At 39.0% G+C, this 22,500-nt stretch overlaps 2 protein-coding genes and 1 pseudogene across 17 annotated transcripts in view, besides 1 other annotated feature; 2 read left to right on the top strand and 1 right to left on the bottom strand.

The window, feature by feature from the left end:
* SENP1 (SUMO specific peptidase 1) overlaps window positions 1–22,500 on the bottom strand; it is a 63,183-nt gene that overhangs the window by 32,833 nt on the left and 7,850 nt on the right. For 11 of the 16 annotated variants that reach the window (XM_017019237.2, NM_001267594.2, XM_017019232.2 and 8 more), the window contains 4 exons: window positions 22,265–22,395; window positions 20,614–20,698; window positions 13,072–13,231; window positions 7,862–8,033 (listed from right to left, as the gene is read on the bottom strand). In XM_017019237.2, the coding sequence (XP_016874726.1) occupies window positions 7,862–8,033; window positions 13,072–13,231; window positions 20,614–20,698; window positions 22,265–22,395 (548 nt within the window). Of the gene's footprint in view, window positions 1–7,861; window positions 8,034–13,071; window positions 13,232–13,433; window positions 13,565–20,613; window positions 20,699–22,264; window positions 22,409–22,500 lie in introns of all 16 variants that reach the window. The other 5 variants (XM_017019235.2, XM_017019233.3, XM_017019234.3 and 2 more) reach the window with 3 other exon arrangements.
* Window positions 5,590–5,699, top strand: RNU6-1203P (RNA, U6 small nuclear 1203, pseudogene; annotated as a pseudogene).
* On the top strand, window positions 8,725–11,444 carry LOC101927180 (V-type proton ATPase subunit F-like). Its single transcript, XM_047429952.1, has one exon. It carries the CDS (start codon window positions 9,333–9,335, stop codon window positions 9,690–9,692), a length of 360 nt encoding a protein of 119 aa, XP_047285908.1. The 5' UTR covers window positions 8,725–9,332; the 3' UTR covers window positions 9,693–11,444.
* Window positions 15,320–15,536: a silencer, noted in NCBI's record as "fragment chr12:48484832-48485048 (GRCh37/hg19 assembly coordinates)". NCBI's record gives its function as "represses an EF-1alpha promoter that drives an FKBP-Casp9 reporter gene in an ReSE screen in K562 erythroleukemia cells {active_cell/tissue: K562}" and the evidence as "EXISTENCE:reporter gene assay evidence [ECO:0000049][PMID:32094911]".

Genomic DNA, 22,500 nt, shown 5'->3' on the forward strand with positions numbered 1-22,500 from the left:
GGAGATTATATTGCAGTGAAAGGAATCAAACAAAAAACCAGTCAGGTAGTATGCAGAAAATTAAAGGGTAAGAGAATGGAAAGTGATGGAAGGAGAGCAGCAGGAACAGGTAAGATTTCTCTAAAAAAAAGTGATATTTCAGCAGAAACCTAAAGCCAAGGGAAGAAGTCAGTCCTAGAAATATATAAAAGAATATTCCAAATAGAGGAACAACACATGCAAAGCCCTGAGAGAGGAAGGTGCTTAATGCGTTCCAAAAATAGTAAGGTCCATGTGAATCAGAAGAGTAGGAAGAAATGAGATCACCTGACACAGAACCAGATTACATAAGGACTTACAACTCTGGTAAAGCATCAGTTCTATACAGGTCCCCTGACTCAATGGGCTATGTTCACTAGCACTTAGTAATATGCCCTGGCAATTTATTTTTAATCTTATATACAGTTTAATACAACCACCAATCCTCAAAACATAATTTTAAACATTATGTCAGTGTTAGCACCATCTCGTACTGTGATATTTCGATATGTGCTGGGACTACAGGCGCCCGCCACCACGCCCAGCTAATTTTTTGTGTTTTTAGTAGAGATGGGGTTTCACCATGTTAGCCAGGATAGTCTCGATCTCCTGACCAGCCCAGGCTGGAGTGCAGGTGCGCCATATCGGCTCACTGCAACCTCCACCTCCTAGGTTCAAGTGATTCTCCTGCCTCAGCCTCTGGACTAGCTGGGACTACAGGTGCACGCCACCACACAGAGCTAATTTTTTTTTTTTTAATTTTTAGTACAGACAGGGTTTCACCATGTTGGCCAGGCTGGTCTCGAACTCCTAACCTCAAGTGATGCGCCCACCTTGGCCTCCCAAAGTGCTGGGATTACAGGCATGAGCCACAGCACCCAATATGTAGTTTTTGCTTTTTTTTTTTCTTTTTTGAGACGGAGTCTCACTCTGTCACCAGGCTGGAGCGCAGTGGCACGATCTCTACTCACTGCAACTTCCACCTCCCTGGTTCAAGCAATTCTCCTGCTTCAGCCTCCCTAGTAGCTGGAACTACAGGTGTGCGCCACCACGCCCAGCCATTTTTTTTTATTATTTTTAGTAGAGACGGGGTTTCACCATGTTGGCCACAATGGTCTCGATCTCCTGACCTCGTGATCTGCCTGCCTCGGCCTCCCAAAGTGCTGGGATTAAAGGCGTGAGCCACGGCGCCCAGCCACCAATTTGTAGTTTAACACTTGGTCTCCTTCCACCCTCCCATCTTGTAGTCCCCAGTGTCCACTATTCCCATCTTTATGTCCATTTGTACCCAATGTTTAGCTCCCACTTATAAGTGAGAACATGCAGCATTTGGTTTTGTTTCTGCATCAGTTTGCCTAGGATAATGTCTTGCCTATGTTTTAACAGTTTTGTTTTCTTGGTATTGAGTTGAGCTCCTTATATATTTTGAATATCAACCCCTTATAGAATGGATGCAAATATTTTCTCCCAATCTGTAGGTTGTCTCTGCACACTGTTAATTGTTTCCTTTGCTTTTTAGTTTGATGTACTCCCATGTGCCTACTTCTGCTTTTGTTGCCTATGACTTTGCGTGCAAATCCAAAAAAATCAGTGCCAAGACCACTGTCGTGTAGTTTTTCCTGTTTTCTTCTAGCAGTTTTAGAGTTTCTAGTCTTAAAGTCTTTATTCCATTTTTAGTTGATTTTTGCATATGGTATGAGATAAGGACCTAATTTCATTCTTCTACATATGGAAATATAATTTTCCCAACACCATTTAGTGAAGAGACTGTCCTTTCCCTTTCTGTAGTCCTAGCACCTTTGTCAAAAATCAGTCAACTAGCTATATAACGGGTTCACTTTTTTTTTCGTCATACTTTAAGTTCTAGGGTACATGTACACAACATGCAGGTTTGTTACATATGTATACATGTGCCACGTTGGTATGCTGCACCCATTAACTCATCATTTACATTAGGTATATCTCCTAATGCTATTCCTCCCCACTCCCCCCACCCCACGACAGGCATAACGGGTTCATTTCTAAGTTCTCTATTCCGTTTCATTGGCTGATGTCTATTTCCAATACCATGCTGTTTTAATTACTATAGCTTGGTAGTATAGTTTGAAATAAGCTAGTGTGGTAGCTTCTTTTTTGTTCTTTCTGCTCATAATTGCCTTGGCTATTCAGGGATTTATGTGGTCATATGAATTTTAGTATTTTTTTCTATGAAAAATAACATTGGAATTTTGATAGGGATTGCACTGAATCTGGAGATTGCTTTGAGTAGTATGGCCATTTAAACAATATTAATTCTTCCAATCCATGAGCACAGAATAGCTTTCCATTTAATTGTATCTTCAATTTCTTTCAACATTGTATGTTTTTCAGTATGTAGGTCTTTTACTTCCTTGGTTAAATTTGATTGGTTTTTTGTAGCTATTGTAAATGGGATTGTTCTCTTGGCTTCTTTTTTGCATAGTTCATTGTTAACAGTGCATAGAAATACTACTAATTTCTGTGTGTTGATTTTGTATCCTACAACTATACTGTATTCATTTAATAGTTTTTTGGTGGAGTCTGTAGGATTTTATATATATATATATATACACACACATATATATATACACACACACACATACACATATATACTTATACATATACACACACATATATACACATATATATTCACACATACACATACACTGTATTCATTTAATAGTTTGAACAGTTCTTTGGTGGAGTCTGTAGGGTTTTCTATATATAAGATCATGTTGTCAGTAAAAGTGACAATCTTATTTCTTTTTTTTTTGAGACAGAGTCTTGCTCTGTCGCCCAGACTGGAGTGCAGTGGCGCGATCTTGGCTCACTGCAACCTCCGCCTCCCGGGTTCAAGCAATTCTCCTGCCTCAGCCTCCTGAGTAGCTGGGATTACAGGCACCCGCCACCACGCCCAGCTAACTGACAATCTTATTTCTTCCTTTCCCAAAAGAACACATGTAACTTTTTTGGCTTTGCCAAAATGAAAGTTACCTAAATAAAACTTTAAACAAAATTCTTTTTTGGACCATCTGGTACTATCAGTAAAAGAAAACATCTTTCTCTGTAAATTACTTGTTAAACTGTTTTTGTTGTTGTTGTTGTTAAACACAGTGGCTCACTCCTATAATTCCAACTCTTTGGGAAGCCAAGGCAGAGGATCACTTGAGCCTAGGAGTTTGAGACCAGCCTGGGCAACAAAGTGAGACCCTGTCTCTACACAAAAAATGTTTAAAAATTAGCTGCATATTAGCATGTGCCTGTAGTTGCAGCTACTCAGAAGGCAAAAGAGGGAGTATCACTTGAGCCAGGAAGTTGAGGCGGCAGTGAGCTGTGATTGCGCCACTGCATTCCAGCCTGGGTGACACACTGAGACTCTATTTCATAAAATTAAAAAAAAAATTAAAATTAAAGAAAGCCCTAACTGTTCTTTACTGAATAAGAAAATTAGGGGCTGGGCACGGTGGCTCAAGCCTGTAATACCAGCACTTTGGGAGGCCGAGGCAGGTGGATCATGAAGTCAGTAGATCGAGACCATCCTGGCTAACATGGTGAAACTCCGTCTCTACTGAAAATACAAAAAATTAGCCCGGCACGGTGCTGCCCGCCTGTAGTCCCAGCTACTCAGGAGGCTGAGGCAGGAGAATTGCTTGAACCCGGGAGACGGAGGTTGCAGTGAGCCGAGATCGCGCCACTGCACTCCAGCTGGGGCAAGAGAACAAGACTCCGTCTCAAATAAAAAAAGAAAATTAGGATCTTAAGAGTAAAGGAAGCAATAATTGCATAGCATGATAAAGTTAAAGAAGCTAGCTAATGTTACGTTTTAAAACCTGAAAAAACCCTAAGACGAGTGTTTTGAAGTATAAAAATAATTAATTAAGGTGCTGAATTATATTTTTTAAAAGGGACAGAGTCCTGTAGTTAGGTGATGTTTCTATAAAAGGCTCCATCATAAAAGAACTATAAAATTATAAAACTTTAATAGAGAGCACAAAATAATTTTTAGGACACTAGTAAACTGTTTTTTTATAAATTACCACCAATAACTTTATAAATAATACTCCTAATTTTCATTTTGTTTAAAGTAATAACTTTATACCATATAAAATATGCAAAGTGCAAATTTCAATAATTTTCTGAGTCCCAAATGCTTGACTTATGACAACACTGTAAAGCAGTTCTAAGAAAAGTATAAAACCATCACTGTCACCTATTACAAAAGTCCAGTATCTTAAAATGTTGCTCAATAATTTGCAAAGAAGCGTGTCTAGAAGCAACATGTAACTGAAAAGAAACTACCTGTGTTTTTGCCATTTTACATTTTTATTGTCACAAGTATTTTCTCTTTTCCAAACAGAACTTTATATCCTCTATAACAGCATTATCTAACAGAAATTTCTGTAGTAATAGAAATGTTCTATATTTGCCCTGTCCAATATGGTAGCCACTAGCCACATGTGGCTAATGAATACTTAAAATGTGGCTAGTGTCACTGAGTAACTAAATTTTCAATTTGAATTTGAATTAATTTAAACAGTGCTTGTGGCTAGCCGTTACCCTACTGAATAGCACAGCTTTTTGATGTTGCCTCTTGAGCATCAGCCATTCTGCACAGCCACTACTTGCATATTTCTAAATTCTTCTTCATGTGTTCTCTTCAAACCTCTGTTGTAAGACTGAGCAGTGCAGTGGTGACATCATCTTAATTGTTAATTTTGTAGAAGACTTCATATTCCTGAAGTTGATGGACAAATCCGGCATTAAGGTTAATACATCTTCCTTTAACATAACCAAATGTACCTCTGCTGAGGATCCCAACGTTTCACGGAAAGTGACTTTTCATCCAGTTTGTAAGTTCCCATCAGTAAATTTAGTCCCAGGGTTAAAAAGTATTATATCCGAATTATTTGTAATATCCAAAAATAAACATCTAAATAAATTTGTTGAAAGTCTGATAATAAAGTTTGGCCCAATATTTTGTATTATTCATGTTATATGGCTTATTCTGTAAGCCATATAGTAGTACAGGTAGCTTGACTTTCATATTAGGAGAATATAGAACTAAAAACAGGCAAAATTTCCCGCATCGCTCATTTCATAGAATAGATTCTTAGCATCTTCTTTGCACTACAGGAGGAAGGAGAACTCCACCTTCATGTTCTCCACTGACCCAACCTGTGGCCTGGAGGGCTGTTTGGAAGGGTAAAATTGCCCAAGCAACCCCCAGTCCTCAGGCTGGCAGAGGAGGCAAAAGAAGGAAGGCTGAGTGGTCCACAGAGCTGGTGGGTGAATGGCAAACTTACAATGAACACAGAATTAAAGGATCCTGGTGAGCCTGAGCAACAGAAACATGGGGCAGGCGAGGGTTAGGAGCCCTGTACCCAGCTGTCATGCTGCTGTTGTCTCCTCCACAAAGTCTCTCTGCACCCCTTAGGCTGTCTAGAATCCAGCATAATCATAAACCCCACAACTCCAGTAATTATTTATGCATAAAATAATGTAAATATAATATAAAATTCAATAGCATAAAAGGTATAATGAAAAATAAATCTTGGGCTCACTTTAGGAGCACATATACTAAGACTGGAACTATATAGAGAAGATTAGCATGGCCCCTGTACAACGATGACATGAAAATTTGTGTAATGTCAAAAAAAATTTTTTTGTTAAAAAAAATCTCCTTTTCATCATTGTTGTCCAGCTTTGTCATCAAAGGCAAATGTTGCCAGTTTCTTGTCTATCCCTTGCCCTGCTAAATGACTTACTAGTTCTGCCACCCTCCACTTGAATGTTGGTGTTTTTTCGTTTTTTTTTTTTTTTTTTGAGACAGTGTCTTGCTCTGTCACCCAGGCTGCAGTGCAGTGGCACAATCACAGCTGACCGTAGCCTTGAAATCCTGGGCTCAAACGATCTTCCTGCTTCAGCCTCCTGAGTAGGTGGAACTACAGCCACCTGCCACCACACCCAGCTAATTTTTTTTTGTAGAGACAGGATCTCACTATGTTGCCTAGGCTGGTCTCAAACTCCTGGCCTCAAGCAATCCTCCTGCTTTTGCTTCCCAAAGTGCTGGGATTGTACATGAGCCACCATGCCCAGCCAAATGTTTTAGATTCAATACAAACTTTTTTTGTTGTTGTTGTTGAGACGGCTTCTCACTCTGTCACCCAGGCTGGAGTGCAGTGGCGCGATTTCGGCTCACTGCAAGCTCTGCCTCCTGGGTTCACGCCATTCTCCTGCCTCAGCCTCCCGAGTAGCTAGGACTTACAGGCGCCCGCCACCACGCCTGGCTAATTTTTTGTATTTTTAGTAGAGACAGGGTTTCACTGTATTAGCCAGGATGGTCTTCATCTCCTGACCTCGTGATCCGCCCGTCTCAGCCTCCCAAAGTGCTGGGATTACAGGCATGAGCCACCATGCCCGGCCTCAATACAAACTTTAAACCAAAAATATGCACAGCATTTTTAGTAACCATATCACAAATAATCAAGTTTTGCCACCTAAGAGATCACTGATTACCAAATTATGTAATTATTTAGCAGGTAATGCTGTATTCTTGACTCCATGCTCAGTAAGCTTCATTGGGCAGGAACCATATTGCTGTGTTGTATAACAGAAAGCATACTTGACCAAACCTCTTCAGAAGTTCTGGGTTCTAGGCCTGCCATTTACTAGTCATGTGACCTATGACCCTTATTTTCCTAATCTGTAAAACATGACTATTACCTCATCTCTACCTATTTTGCTGAGTTAAAAGGATTAAAAACAATAATACACGTGGAAAGTACACTGGAAGCTCTAATGCTATTTAAATGCAAGGTAATTATTATTCATTTGTATCTCCAAGCAACCACAGCATTAGACGTACATTAAATATGTAATCTAACAGATATGTGCACACATCCTATCATGCAAATTATATGCTACATTACATTCACAAAATTGGCTTTTTCTTTTAGGTTTACTGAATTAATATAACAACCCAAGTGTCAACAGAACATCTTTCTTTTCAGGAGTCTGTAACTTCAAAAAAGGTCTTACTCATAATGAAAGGATGTATATTGTTTAACTAGCTTTTTGATTTTTCTCTTATATTGAAGAAAAATTGTTCCTGGTAAGAAGAATAGGTATTTCATCAAATTAAAAAAACAATTTTTTTTTGAGATGGGTCTCACTCTGATGCCCAGGCTGCAGTGCAGTGACACAAAGCAAGTCGAGTGCAGCCTCGACCTCCTGGGCTCAAGCAATCCTCCCACCTCAGCCTCGCCAGTAGCTAGGAGTACAGATATGAGCCACCAAGCCCGTCTAATTTTTATATTTTTTGTAGAGACAGGGTTTCTCCATGTTGCCCAGGCTCGTCTCGAACTCCTGGGCTCAAGTGATCCACCTGTCTTGGCCTCCCACTGTGCTGGGATCATAGGCATGAGCCACGTCACGTGGACTGAAATAAAATTTTATCAAAAACTACGGAGGAAGAGTAACAATTTTTCCATAGGAGACAACGGTTTAGGAAGGGTCTAGCAAAGATCAAAGAGAGATACTTTGATGTATGAGAAACCATTCAGGCAACATTAAAGATTAAGTAAAGTCAGCTGTCCAGCAGGCATAGAAGATATAATAGTAAGACAAATAATGAAGTCCTGCTAAAACACCTCTTTAATCTCTTTAGAATAGATGATAACACTCAAAAAGAGTAATTCAGACAGAAAAAGCACAGGAAGGATAAAATAGAATGGTTCTTAAACAACTAATTATTAATAGGGAGCAAATGGCTCAATGTAGGGAAAGATCCTAACTTTTAGTAGCTTTTGTCACACGTTTTCCTTACCTCTTCTGCTGTACTAACATGTCGCCTCTGAGTTTTCTTGGGGCTCAAAAGACTTCGACGACATGAACCACTCCAAGATGGACTTGGAACAGGTTTAATAGGAAAAGATTTTTCATATGCAGATACATGGCAGTGATGGTTTGACTTTCCCGCAAAACTGTTTGATAATCCACTAAAAAAAGAGTTTGTAAGAAAGATAAGAACAGATAATAAGTAAAATAAATCCAACCTAGAGATTATTTTCACTTTCAAAATATAAAACCAACCAAACAAAACAGGTAAAATAATAGGTTTCCCATTTGAGGGAAAGATACAATAAATGAATAAATGATATATAAGGATGCTGCATCAGGTTCTGCCACTTAAAAGATCTTACATTGTCAAAATTATCAAACACTTAAAACTGCATTTTTAGATCCACAATCTAGAATTTATTTTGGTCAGAAACCATATAGTTTTGTGGTATGACAAAGCATAACAGATTAGATGTCTTCAAAAAACCTGGGTTCCAGGTATGCTAACAACACATACATTTTCTATTATTCCCTGTACCCCTTGTACCCAGCCTGTTGGAGGAAATTAAGATTAAATATGTAAAAATGCATAAAGGCTGAAGCCTCTCAACTAAGCTTTTAAACTGAATTTTTAAATTTCCTTAAAGACCAACAGAGGGCTCCCATCCTTCATTAAAAACAACTATTAGGCTGCGTCATTAAATTCTCCTTCTGGCCTATTTACTTCCTCTGAAGAATTTTTTGTCTCTTTATACTATCTAATGGGAAAAATTGGCAAATTGGCAAGAAGAATATTGTGAACTCAAAAACCCTGTCTTATATCTAAGGCTTACTAATTTTGAGTTTTTTTTTTTTTTTTTTTTGAGATGGAATCTTGCTCTGTCACTCAGACTGGAGGCAGTGGCACGACCTTGGCTCACAGCAACCTCCACCTCCCAGGTTCAAGTGATTCTCCCGCCTCAGCCTCCCGAATAGCTGGGATTACAGGCACCCGCCGCCACACCCAGGTGATTTTTGTATTTTTGTAGAGACAGGGTTTCACCATGTTAGCTAGGCTGATCTTGAACTCCTGACCTCAGGTAATCCGCCGGCCTCAGCTTCCCAAAGTGCTGGGATTACACATGTGAGCCACAGCACCCAGCCAATTTTGAGTTTTTTCTATGTGCTCTTTCTCATTTATCATTACCTGGAAAGTTTGAGGTACTTATTCTTAGCATAATACATTTTCTTTTTTCTTCAAGACTCAGACTAGAGAAACACAGCTGAATATTCTAAATTCAATGAAATCAACTCTTTAAAATCATTACATGTGGTCTGAATCCAAATCAGACAAGATCTAAAGAAAATCAAACAGTGCATAATTCTCTTTAAGTCTTCTTGGGTTTGTACGTGTGTTAAGAATGGGGAAATGAGAGTGGCTTCTGGTGCTCTGGGGTGAGCTCTGCCTGGCTGCAGGGATGGCGGGGAGAAGGAAGCTCATCGCAGTGATCAGAGACAAGGACACGGTGACTGGTTTCCTGCTGGGCAGCATAGGGGAGCTTAACAAGAACTGCCACCCCAATTTCCTGGTGGTGGAGAAGGATACGACCATCAATGAGATCGAAGACACTTTCCGGCAATTTCTAAACCGGGATGACACTGGCATCATCCTCATCAACCAGTACATCGCAGAGATGGTGCAGCATGCCCTGGACACCCACCAGCACTCTATCCCTACTGTCCTGGAGATCCCCTCCAAGGAGCACCCATATGAGGACGCCAAGGACTCCACCCTGCGGAGGGCCAGGGGCATGTTCACTGCCGAAGACCTGTGCTAGGGTCTTTGTGTGAGGACTCCTCACAGCCCTCAGCCCTTCCCTCATTCTCAGGCCTCTCCCCAGGCTTGCCATCAGCCTTCTTTACATTTTGAGCCTCTAATTTCCAAGTCCCTGCCCCTTCCCACTCCATTAAGAGGCTAGGTGAGGCGCTTCTAGGTTGCTGGGGCTCTGCTGTTAAAATCAAGGCTGGTTAAGGAACAGGAAGCCTGACCATCTCTCTCCACTACCTCTTCCCTGTGCTGTTACACAGTGTCATTGTTGATGTTAAATTACAGTCATATTCTTGCTTCTCTCAAAAAAAAAAAAAAAAAAAAAAAAAGAATGGGGAAATGAGCAAGGACTTAGAATTTTAGGAACAGGCTTATTTTCTTAGGATGAGTGGATGCAGCTAGGAAAAGATGGCAAGGGCAGTGCAATTGTTTGGTAAAGACATGATGGATTCTCCACAATGTCTTCTGTATTTGTGTTTCCCAGAGTATGCGTGCGCCTATGCATGTTTTTTTTAACATAAAAGATTACTCTTCTAAAGAAACAGTACAAGGGCATCCTGCAATGACAGAAAGCAAGGGTGTTACCCAAAATTCATGAGTTAAGGTCAAACAGACAGAAGCAAGCTTAAAGGGCTTCCACTAGCCAAATTTCTGAGAATGTGAGCATTAAAAGTATAACAATTATAGTGGATTACAAAATACTGAATCCATAATGACACTAAAAAAGGAACAGACAAATTCATTTGAAACATATGAAGTGTCTATTTTACAAAAACCTTGCTTTGAAAACTGGTAATGAAAAAGAAAAATCTAATCATGTATCAGGCCTTTCCCATAGGAAACACATTTCAGGGACTCTAATAGCCCCAGCTAAGGAAAAATGCAATCAGAATGCCAATTAAGAAGTGTAAAAGTGATAAAATTAGAAAAATATTATTTCATTAACTCTAATAAAACTATTATCAGGTATTAGCAAATGATATTAATTATTAGGTGATGGCTGATGTGAAATTCATCATTCATATAACGCCAAAGTAACATTATTTAGATTACATTCAAGTCACACGGGAAAAAACCTAACTGTACAATTAACCACCAGACTGTCAGTTCCTCAATCCAGAGGTCAGTCTAGCATCATGAATAATAGGAGAACCAAAACAAGATACTGTTTGTTTTTCAAATGTGATAAATGCAGCACACCTTTTAGTCACATCTAAAACCTAGCTTATAAAAAATACAGGTGATTTTTTGACAAAATAATGATACCACGAGGAAGCAACCTGCCAAATCCAAAAAGTAGAACATTATACAGAAAAGTCATGTCATTTAAAAAAAGGAGGCTGAGGCTGGGCATGGTGGCTCATGCCTATAATCCCAGGAAGGGATCGGGAGGCCAAGGAAGGCAGATCACAAGGTCTGGAGTTCGAGACTAGCCTTGCTAATATGGCGAAATGCCGTCTCTACTAAAAATACAAAAATTAGCAGGACATGGTGGCGGGCACCTGTAGTCCCAGCTACTCGGAAGGCTGAGGCAGGAGAATTGCTTGAACCTGGGAGGCGGAGGTTGCAGTGAGCCGAGATCACACCACTGCATTCCAGCCTGGCCGACAGAGCAAGGCTCCGTCTCAACAAAACAAAAAAACAAAACAAAACAAAACAAAACAAAACAAAAAAAGGCTGTTCTAGTTATAAGTGACAAAGCCAATAACTTCCAGATGCAAAACTAAACTAACTATAAAAGATACTTTTGGGTCAACTGAGAAAATTTAAATATGACTTAGGGTATAAAACAAAATTTACAAAAGAATATGTATACTATAAACTCATTTTGGAAAAAAAGTAGAGAAAAGTATGTAGAAGGATATGTACTAAGATATTACAGAGTTGATCTCAGGCTGGTGGCAATGTGATGTTTTTATTTTTTATTTTTCTTAACTATATTTTCTAAACTTTCCCAAAGTATTTGTACTACTTCTGTAATAACATTTTTTTAAAATAACAGCATGGCTTTATTGCATTAAAAAAGCCACCTGCTAAATGATGCATATAGAAAATCTTTAATGAAGACAAAATAATATCATACATTTAATAGTATACACAACATATATATCATACTATATATGAGTAAGAAAGAGTAAGAGAGAAATAGGTATAGGAAAAGGTTTGGAAGGAAACACACCAAGGAAAAGGGATTGGGATTGTGGGTAGTGGTCAAGGGATCTTCAGCTTTGCTGGTAATGTGTTGATTTCTACAATGTGAGTGTATGAGTGAATTACTGTATAATTTTTTAAAAGTTAAGTGAGGAACATGATCCCAGGGAGTATTGACACATTCCTGGAGTCCATGTGCATAAAATAATAAAAGCCATCTTGTTGGCTTCTATCAACACCATAAAGCTCAAACTTGACTAAACAGTACACTAAATAATCCCACATTCCTAAAATATACCAGGGCAGAATTTAAGTAGTCATAAATACTATTTTAAAAAAGAAATGTTTACTAATATAATAAATACTAATATAACAAAATATCTGAGGGAAAAGTTTCTAAGCCAGATTTCATCTGCCTTTAATAATCCATGTAAGTTTTGTTAGATAGAGCTTATAAAGTTGGAATAACTAGCATAAAGTTCTCTGTGACTATCTTTTTTTTTTTTTCTGAGACGAGGTCACTCTGTCACCCAGGCTGGAGCTATAGCAGCATGATCTCAGCTCACTGCAACCTCTGCCTCCCAGGTTCAAGTGATTCTCCTGCCTCAGCCTCTCAAGTAGCTGGGACTACAGGCACACACCACCATGCCTGGCTAATTTTTTTGTATTTTTAGTGGAGACAGGGTTTCACCATGTTGGCCAGGCTAGTCTGGAACTCCTGACCTCAGGTGATCCACCTGCTTCAGCCTCCCAAATTGCTAAGATTACAGGCACGAGTCACCGTGCCCGGTCTGTGACTCTTTATTTTCTAATATATAGAAGTAGCTTGGTCTACTTGACTAATGCCATGAGGTAGAGAACTGCTTTAGTTTAAGTCAGGTCTCTGCTCACTTGATAGCTGTAAAATATGTTTCTTTCCTGCTCAAATTGTGGAGATTGACTGATTTTCACTTTAAGATTTGCAAGAGCCATATTGATCTTGAAGGCTCCCAATATTCTCATATCCACCAAGATTTACTTAAAATTCTCTCTTCTAGTAAGATCTGGCTATCATCAAAATTCAGCACTAAGTAAATGAGAAGTTGAAAATGTAAAATGGATTTGTTCATATCCTTAAGGTTTAAAGTCCAAAAATGGTGTTACTCTTTTAAAATCCCAATGTAATAACTATCTACCTTTTAGTCACTTTCTCTTATGTCTGAGGAAGGGCTTGAGAACTAAGATGACAAAATACGAACCTTGAGGTCTTTCGGGTTTCGAGGTAAAGACTTCGGCTGTTTCTTGATTTTTGTAAAGATGAGCTTGACGATGGGGTAGAATTTCTCCATTGGCCATTTGCACTCTGGCCAAAGGTTCTTAAATCGCCTGAGCCAAGAAAACTGTCTGAGGAAGGATTATCTAAAAAAATAAAAGTTTGAATAAATTAAACAAATTCTACAGGTGGTTCTCCTTATGACTGCAACCATGACCAACCATTGTATTCCAAAGTAATGTGGCATGTCACCATTTCTCTCATGGAAGAAAGATCCCAGTCTCAACTGCCAGTAAAGTCTGCAGTAGGGGAACTTCTACAAACTATAATTGATTCAGCCATACTAACCTGAAAATTGATGAAGGAGCTGAATCCTGCCACAGCCATGTGCCTTATCTGCATCAATGTGACTCCGTGGTGTCCACCAAAAGTCAACATTTTACCCCAACTATATCTTGCAAGCACTCCCAGGCCTGGGCCTGAAAGAAGGTAGGCCAGACCAGTAAGAAAGCAGGTGGGGGGCCAGTGAGAATTGTAATTCAAATGAACAACAGTTATTGATTACTAAGCAGCTAGTGTCACTTTCTTCGTTTTAGTTACCATGTTCAAGACTCAGGTACTCTCTCAAAGAGCAGAGATAACCTAATTGCTGCTTATTCTGGTTGGCTTATGGCAAGGAATGACCCATCATATATATCTGGTTCTGGTATAATAATCTTCAGTCATCTAATGCCATAATCAAACATATTATTACTCCAATGTTTGCTACTACAATCAGATTAACTGAGAATTACTTATTATTTGAATTTTCTAACTTGTGGATTACAATCTGGCATATCAAAAACCTCCTGAAGTTTCAGCTAGGAGTGGTAGAATAATTTCTATAACCTCCTCTCCCTATCTGCAGAATTGGACAATTTAAAACAGCTCCCTCAAAATAACTTCAGACATTAAGTTATGGAACTCTAAGGAGCTCCAGTGAAAACACAAGAATAATAATTCTCTATTTCTGGAATTTTTTTCTAATGCTGACATTATTTTGAAGATATTCTTTTAAAACATATTACTATAGAACTTTTCGCAATATTGTAAATTTATGCTATTAAAAGTATTTAATGTATCTTTTCATGCTCTATCCAAATAGGCAGCCTTCCAAAATATAATTTTGTGCTTCTGTAAGCTAATCAAGATGTCAGGATTTAGGGTAAATAGGAAAAAAGAAGAAGTCATGGCTGGTATTAGCACTTGTTAATTCAACAGTTGGTGACCTTAGTCTGATAATTAAAATAAGCTAATTTACTTTCAAAATGAATTGTAACTTTGTTCCTTTGTAATCAGTATCTATGCTTAGCATCTATTACTATAATTTTGAGGATAGAAACATGATGCTAATGAAAATGAGTCTTAGTAAAGAACTAGAAAATTATTATACTTAAGTTTAAAGTTGTAACAGTAGAAATATTTGTCTCTCACACATTTTGGCTAAAATTTGATTAGGGCATGATCTAAATACAGATATCTATCTGAGGCATCGGTCTGTCAAAAATGCAAATTACCCTAACAGGTGTGAAATTTGAGACCAAGGATAAGTCAGAGTAGCATTCTCAACGGCATGTGACAGAGACTGCAGCTTTAAAATGCAAGGGGAAAAGCAGAAGATCAGGCAGTCTGTTTAAACAGAAAAAGGTGGTTCCAATCCCAATGAAATTGCTGAATGGTGTTCTATTGCTGATGGGATCAAACAAAGCTAGAGACAGACCAAGAGGAAACTACAGATACTGTTTTTGTTTGTTTGTTTTTGAGGCAGGGTCTCACTCTGTTGCCCAGGCTGGAGTGTAGTGGCACAATGATAGCTCACTGCAGCCTCGAACTCCTAAGCTCAAGCAATCTCCTTGCCTCAGTCTCCCAAGTAGCTGGGATCACAGGTGCATACCATCATACATGCCTAATTTTTCTATTGTTTTGGAGAGGGAGGGTTTCACTGTGTTGCCCAGGCTGGAATCGAACTCCTGGCCTTAGGTGATACTTCCACCTGGGTCTCCCAACGGCAAAGTACTGAGATAATACAAGTGAGCCACTGTGCCTGGCCACATATAGTGAGAGTTTAACATGATAGTCTGTCACCACTGATTTCTGTGAGAAATCAGAGTTACGAACACCACAAAAAAGATTACCTATTATGTGTACATACATACACACAAAACTAGGAGAAAATACACCAAAAATTTAATTGTGGTTATGTTCTAATGATAGAGTGATGGGTATTTTTCTACTTTTCTACACAAATTTTCTGCAGGGACAAGCAATACTTTTATGAATATAATAAACTTCATATTAAAAAAGAATGTGTCAAGACTGGGTGTGGTAGCTCACGCCTGTAATCCCAACACTTTGGGAGGCGGAGGCAGGTGGATCACCTCAGGCCAGGAGTTCAACACCAGCCTAGCCAGTATGGTGAAACCCGTCTCTACTAAAAATACAAAAAATTAGCCAGGCGTGGTGGCACACGTCTGTCGTCCCAGTTACTAGGGAGGCTGAGGCATAAGAATCACTTGAACCCGGGAGGCAGAGGTTGCTGTGAGCCAAGATCGTGCCACTGCACTCCAGCCTGGGCGACAGAGCGAGATTCTGTCTCCAAAAAAAAAAAAAAGAATGTGTCAGCTAACTACTTACTATGAAAGTAAGTACTACCAGTTGTTCCTGTTAACTTTAGTTAAAATAATAGCAGGATGTTTAAATAATATTACCTACCAAGTATCATTCTGGTAACCTAATGTAACATATTTTCCAAAGAGAAGACATTGATAATGATTCTAAGCACAAGCAAAATCACTTCTTTTCATCCCACTTTTCTCTGTTTAGGGTTAAACATTTTTTTTTCTTGAGACAGGGTCTCCCTCTGTCCCCATGCTGGAGTACAGTGGCACCATCATGGCTCACTGCAGCCTTGACCTCCCAGGCTCAAGAGATGCTCCCACCTCAGCTTCCTCAGTAGCTGGGACTACATGTACACGTTACCATGTCCAGGTAATTTATTTTTATTTTTTGTAGAGACAGGGTCTCAGTACGTTGCCTGGGCTGGTCTCAAACTCTTGGGCTCAGGTGACACTCCCGCCTTGGCCTCCCAAAGTGCTAGGATTACAGGCGTGTAAAGTTTTGCTGTAACAAAGTAAACTGTAAAAAAGTTTTTAAAATTTTATTTTTTAAAAAAATCAATGTTTTAAATACTCTAATCTTAAGTGGATTGAGAGGCAGATTTTTAAAAAGCTTGATCTAGAGAAGTCAATCCAATAAAGTAATAAAGGAGAAGTTCCAGATCCTAGATCCTAAAGTTTGGGCCTTGCTGCTCATTTTCATCCTGGTGAAGGAGGGGACAGCAGGGTGAGAGAGAAGACAAATACCAATAAAGTCAGGATCAGCAGATAAAGGCAGGTAAACTGAGGGTCCGTGTCTAGCCCAATCAAGAGGTAAGGCACAAAGTGATGACCACTGCAATCGATGTGGGGATTATCAGAAAAGAATATATCCAAAGGAGAGAGCATAATTGGAATGAGTGTGGAAAGAGGAAGAAGTTTTTTTAAAGTCCATAGTAAAAAGTAGGTTTTAATTAAAGACTTCATTATAAGAAAAAAATATATATAGACCACTGACGTTCACAGATTTAAATTCCTGATTTTTAGAAAGGGACCTTTGATGTCTGTGACATGCCATAAGCTTGTTTGATCAGGGACTAGATGAGATTTGTTAAAGGCACAAATTTGAGTCCTCTGCTTCAAGCTGTAATTTAGCATCCCATTTCAGTATGACTTTATTATTTACTATTGTTATTCTCTAATCATCACCATATATATAGTAACTGTTATAATTATTTTCTTCTCCAAAAAAAAGGTACTCAAGTGAGAGATGAAGCTTTTAGTGTAAGACTGTTGATATGGGAATCAACTTGTGGTATGAGGATAAACATAAGAAAAATGTAATTCTCAACAATTACGTAACTGAGTAGAAAGCCAAGGAATCTGGCCAAATATTACATTAGGACTTAAGATAATCTTAGATATATTCTTTGTGAATATCAAGGGTTTACTAAAACTTAGGAGAAAAAAAGCTCTATATACCAATGCTTTTAAGTCATGTTATTAACAATAGCTGAAAATGGTAAGGGTAAATGTGCACCTAAACCATAGGGAAAATAATGAAGCAAATGAAGGCACACACCCATTATCCCAAATCAAATGCTTGAGTCCAGTTCTATATCCAAATTTTAAATTTTTGGAATTTTAGAAAGATAACCTGACATATTAGGTAACACTTTCAAGTATAATCTGTAAGAGCACTCTGTAATCAAACATGTTATCTACAGCAAAATGTGAAAATACTCATTTTTACAGAGATTTTAAAAAAGAAAAAATATAAACAGCTTCATGTCAGTTCAAGTAGGTTTTGCCAAGGAATGAATTCAGGTGAGGTTTTTTTTTTTTTTTTTTTTGGAAATGGAGTCTCACTGTGTCGCCCAGGATGGAGTGCAGTGGCGCGATCTCCGCTCACTGCAACCTCCACCTCCTGGGTTCAAGCGATTCTTCTGCCTCAGCTTCCCAAGTAGCTGGGATTACAGGTGTCCTCCAACACACCCTGCTAATTTTTGTGTTTTTAGTAGAGACAGGGTTTTACCATGTTGGCCAGGCTGGTCTCGAATGCCTGACCTCCGGTGATCCACCCGCCTTGGCCTCCCAAAGTGTTGAGATTACAGGCCTGAGCCATCGCACCCAGCCTCAGGTCAGGTTTTGAAGCCAAATGAGATGTGAAAAAAAATTTTGGTTTTCAGAGGTTTTTGGATTTTGGAATTGCACATAAGGGACTGTGGATGTGCGTATCAATTCCATGAATTAGAAATGAGCAGAAAATGATAAAAAAAAAAAAAAAAGAACATGTTGACACATGAAAAACTATAACTATTAGCCTGGACAACATGGCGAAACTCCGTCTCTACCAAAAAATGCAAAAATTAGCTAGGCATGCTGGCATGCACTGGTAGTCCCAGCTACTCAGGGGGCTGAGGTGGGAGGATCACAGCCAGGAGGTGCAGGTTGCAGTGAGCTGTCATTGTGCCACTGCACTCCAGCCTGGGCAACAGAGTGAGACCCTGTCTCAAAAAAAATTAAAATAAAAATACTGAGTTAAAAAAGATTACATGTGTCAAATCATGCAATGTGTATGAGGTATGTACACACAGATAATCGGAAGAGATCACAGAGACTTGAGTTAAATAAGAGTTGAATGAGATGGGGTGCAGTGGCTCACACCTGTAATCTCAGCACCTTGGGAGGCCTAGGCAGAAGAATCACTTGAGCCCAGGAGTTTGAGACCAGTCTGTGCAATACAGCAAGACCCTCACCTCTATAAATAATTTTTCAAAACATTAGCCAGGCATGGTGGCATGTACCTGTAGTCCCAACTACTCGGGAGACTGAAGCAGGAGAATCGCATGAGCCTAGGAGGTCAAGGTTGCAGTGAGCCATGAACATGTCACCACACTCCAACCTGGGTGACAGAGTGAAACTCTGTCTCAAAAAAAAATTAAAAATAGGCCAGGCACAGTGGCTCATGCCTGTAATCCCAGCACTCTGGGAGGCCGAGGCAGGTGAATCACCTAAGGTCAGGAGTTCGAGAACAACCTGGCCAACATGGCGAAACCCCATCTCTACTAAAAGTACAAAAATTAGCCGGGCATGGTGGCAGGCAGCTGTAATCCTAGCTACTCGGGAGGCTGAGGCAGGTGAATTGCTTGAACCCAGGAGGCGGAGGTTGCAGTGAGTCAAGATCGCGCCATTACACTCTAGCCTGGGTGACAGAGCGAGACTCCATCTCAAAAAATAATAATAATAATAATTAAAAATAAATTAGAAATAAAACATTAGAATTGGGTTATGAGAAGGGAACTTTGAGTAGAATTTTCTATATAACTTTATTATTAAGTAATTGTTTTTAACTTAAAGCAGAGATTCTATCCAATGGTAAATTGGCATATGAAATTATAAGCAAACATAGCCTGAGTTCAAATGGAAATACTGATGATCTAATTTCATTAACCATTCAACTGTTCCTCCACCATTAATATTGACCTATCAAACCAGATTTCAGACTCTGTTCATCAAAAAGCCTTCTCAATAATAATGGTAGTAGAGTTACGTTTTGAGAAAATTGATTGATTTTTCTATACAAATTATGCACATACTATGGAAGTCCAGTGCCCAGGGCAGATAAAGTATCACCCACCTAAATCACATTTAAATATAGTATGAATCTAAAAGAGCATCCTACTAACGTCTTTTTAGGGAGGAGATCTCATCTTGCTGACAAAGAATCCTAAGGAAGCCAAATAACAAGAATAATTATTATCTGCATTCCATATTTATCATCCCAATTTATCCTTATAAAAATCCAGCCAGGTGCAGCGGCTTACACCTGTAATCCCAGCACTTTGGGAGGGGGAGCCAGGCGGATCACTTGAGGTTAAGAGTTCGGACCAGCCTGGCCAACATGGTGAAACCCCGTCTCTACTAAAATTACAAAATTTAGCCGGGCGTGGTGGTGGGTGTCTGCAATCCCAGCTACTAGGGAGGTTAAGGCAGGAGAATTGCTTGAACCTAGGAGGCAGAGGTTGCAGTGAGCTGAGATCACACCACTGCACTTCAGCCTGGGCAACACAGGGAGACTCTGTGTCAAAAAAAAAAAAAAAAAAAAAAATTCCTGTTGAGGCAGTTTCAATGGTATAACTGGTATTCCCATATTGTGGTAAGGCAAGGAGACTGAAGCATGAGGAGTAAAAAGACCTGGGAAGACTACTGTAATCTTTCTGAGTCCTACAGCCAAGAGGCTAACCAACAAAACTCTTAGTTTCTCAAGGCAGGGGCAGAAGACCCTTGGAAGTCCAAACCCTAGTAAGAGGGCAGATGATAGATAAGTCAGGCAGGTCACAGGATAAGAACAGCCTAGAGAATGCTGACTTCTGTCATGGATCACAAGTTAAATAGAAAAGCCCTTGAATATGCAAGCATATGGCTGTGGCAGGTGCTAGACAGAAACATGTAGTTAACATTTCCTGCCCTGAAAGAAGGACAAGCTCAGGAAGAAATAAATTTTCAGGTTTCATGGTTTCAAGCAGAACAGAAATAAACTTGCTCTGTGATTTAAATTAACGCAAAACAAACACCCTTTACACACATCACATACACATATTCCCAAAAAAAGGTCAAAAACAAAGTTGTATTGCTTTTTACAATGGCATAATGGACAGTTAGATTCTCAAAACACTTTCCCACTAGAAAACCAGTATTTGGATGAGACAAAATCAGTAAAGTATCATAGCAACCACATACACAGGAAAAGCCATTCAAATGATGTTTTAGTGAAGAAAATACCATCTTGTTTTTGACAATGTTTTTACTTTTGGAGATGATAAACATAAACGATATGCTATCAAGAAATCCAAAAGGTATAAAGTCCCTTGACTCCAAGTAATGTGTCATACCTGAGTAATAGCTTGGATTATAAGCTGCACTTCTTGTGGAACATGTAAAAGATCGGTCCAAATGTCCTTGCCTGGAAGATAAAATCTAAACAAAGCAGAAGATTTTTCTTAAGTCACATTTTTTTTTTTTTTGAGACAGTCTCACTCTTGTTGCCCAGGCTGGAGTACACCGGCACAATCTCTGCTCACTGCAACCTCCGCCTCCTGAGTTCAAGTGATTCTCCTGCCTCAGCCTCCTGAGTAGCTGGGATTACAGGCACGCGCCATCACACCTGGCTAATTTTTGTATTTTTAGTAGAGACGGGGTTTCACCATGTTGGCCAGGCTGGTCTTGAACTCCTGACCTCAGGTGATCCGCCCACCTCGGCCTCCCAAAATGCTGGGATTACAGGCGTGAGCCACCGCGCCCGGCCATGTCACTTTTTTAACAATAAAATAAAAACATATACTAGGAAAAATATATAATTAAACAAGACTATAAGCCAGGTGCAGTGGCTCATGCCTATAATCTCAGCACTTTGCAAAGCCGAGGCAGAAGAATCACTTGAACCCAGGACTTCAAGACTAGCAATGGACAACATGGAGAGACCCCGTCTCTAAATAAAGACTATAGCAGAACTAAGACTATTTCAGAACTCAATATAATTATATTTATATATTATACGTATTAATACTACATACTAACAAGAAAGGAAAACACATAGACAATCTAATGAAATAATTCAGGCTTCAAGGAAAAAAACAGGCAAAATATTTGTTATACAATTTAATTCAAAGAATGTTCACTAGAAGGTAAATATGTATTTAGTACATCCTGTCTGAAAGCCATTTATAACACATATTAAAAAGGTTGAGAAAAATCAATCTGGTTTTGGTTCTTTTGATAACTTTACAGAGATAGCTCTTAATCAGAGGTGGTGCTATACCCTGAGTACATATCTGGAAATGTGTGGATATATATTAACTATTAAAATGATTATGGGGGGAGGTGGATGTTACAGGAATTTAGTGCCTAGGGCTCATGGATGCTAAACATCCTACTATAATTAGGAAAGATTCACACATCAAAGAATGATCTCATCCAAATTACTAATGGCTTTCCTATTGAAAAAGACTGCTTAATAGTGCTCCCCACACTTTCATGTGCATATAAATCAAATGAGGATGTTTTTAAAATATAAATTCTGATTCAGTGATATGAGGTAAAGCCTGAGAGTCTGCATTTCTATCAAGCTCCCAAGTAATGTTGATGCTGCTGGTCCCGAACTAGACCTTGAGAAATCAGGCATTATAGCACAGACATCTTAGAGCTGCTGTATATTTTCACATTTCTCCCCCATTTAATGCTCAGCAATTTTAGGTGCTAGTTTAAAAGAACACTGATCTGCATATAAGTAATTTTAAAATTCAGAGGAACAATGAGTTTTCTAAAACGTACTGTTCTCAAAGAACTCATACATAGCCTATTTTGTCTTAACGTCCTTGTCTTAATTTTAATATATAGAGCAGAATTCCAAACACTAAAATTACTGATTCTAAAAAGTTTATAGCTATGCTTGTATTTTTGAGTGTGGCATTTAAACTACATAAGATGAAAACTTATGATGAGCCCAAATAATTAATTAATTAAAGGAAGAAAATTGCTCCTAACCTGCTGGTCAGAAAGCGAAAGCTGGTCCTCTGGAAAACCTGTTTGTGGCAGGAGGTGGGTTTTGAATACGGAGTTGTGGTTCACTAAAGTCACTTCTCCAGCATCCATCCTCATCCTATCAGCAATATCATCTGGGGAGACAGTCTGGATTAGTTCAAGTCACATAATTCTTCAATAACGTTTTTCCTATGAACCAATCTTTTCACCTAATAAAAACAATTCCCACCCAGGCATGG

This window comes from Homo sapiens, chromosome 12 (genome assembly GCF_000001405.40).
Source record: "Homo sapiens chromosome 12, GRCh38.p14 Primary Assembly".
In the NCBI taxonomy this organism is placed as follows: domain Eukaryota; kingdom Metazoa; phylum Chordata; class Mammalia; order Primates; family Hominidae; genus Homo; species Homo sapiens.

Excerpts from the sequence above, each read along its gene's own strand:
- LOC101927180 (XM_047429952.1), top strand. The coding sequence starts at position 9,333 with ATGGCGGGGAGAAGGAAGCTCATCGCAGTGATCAGAGACAAGGACACG.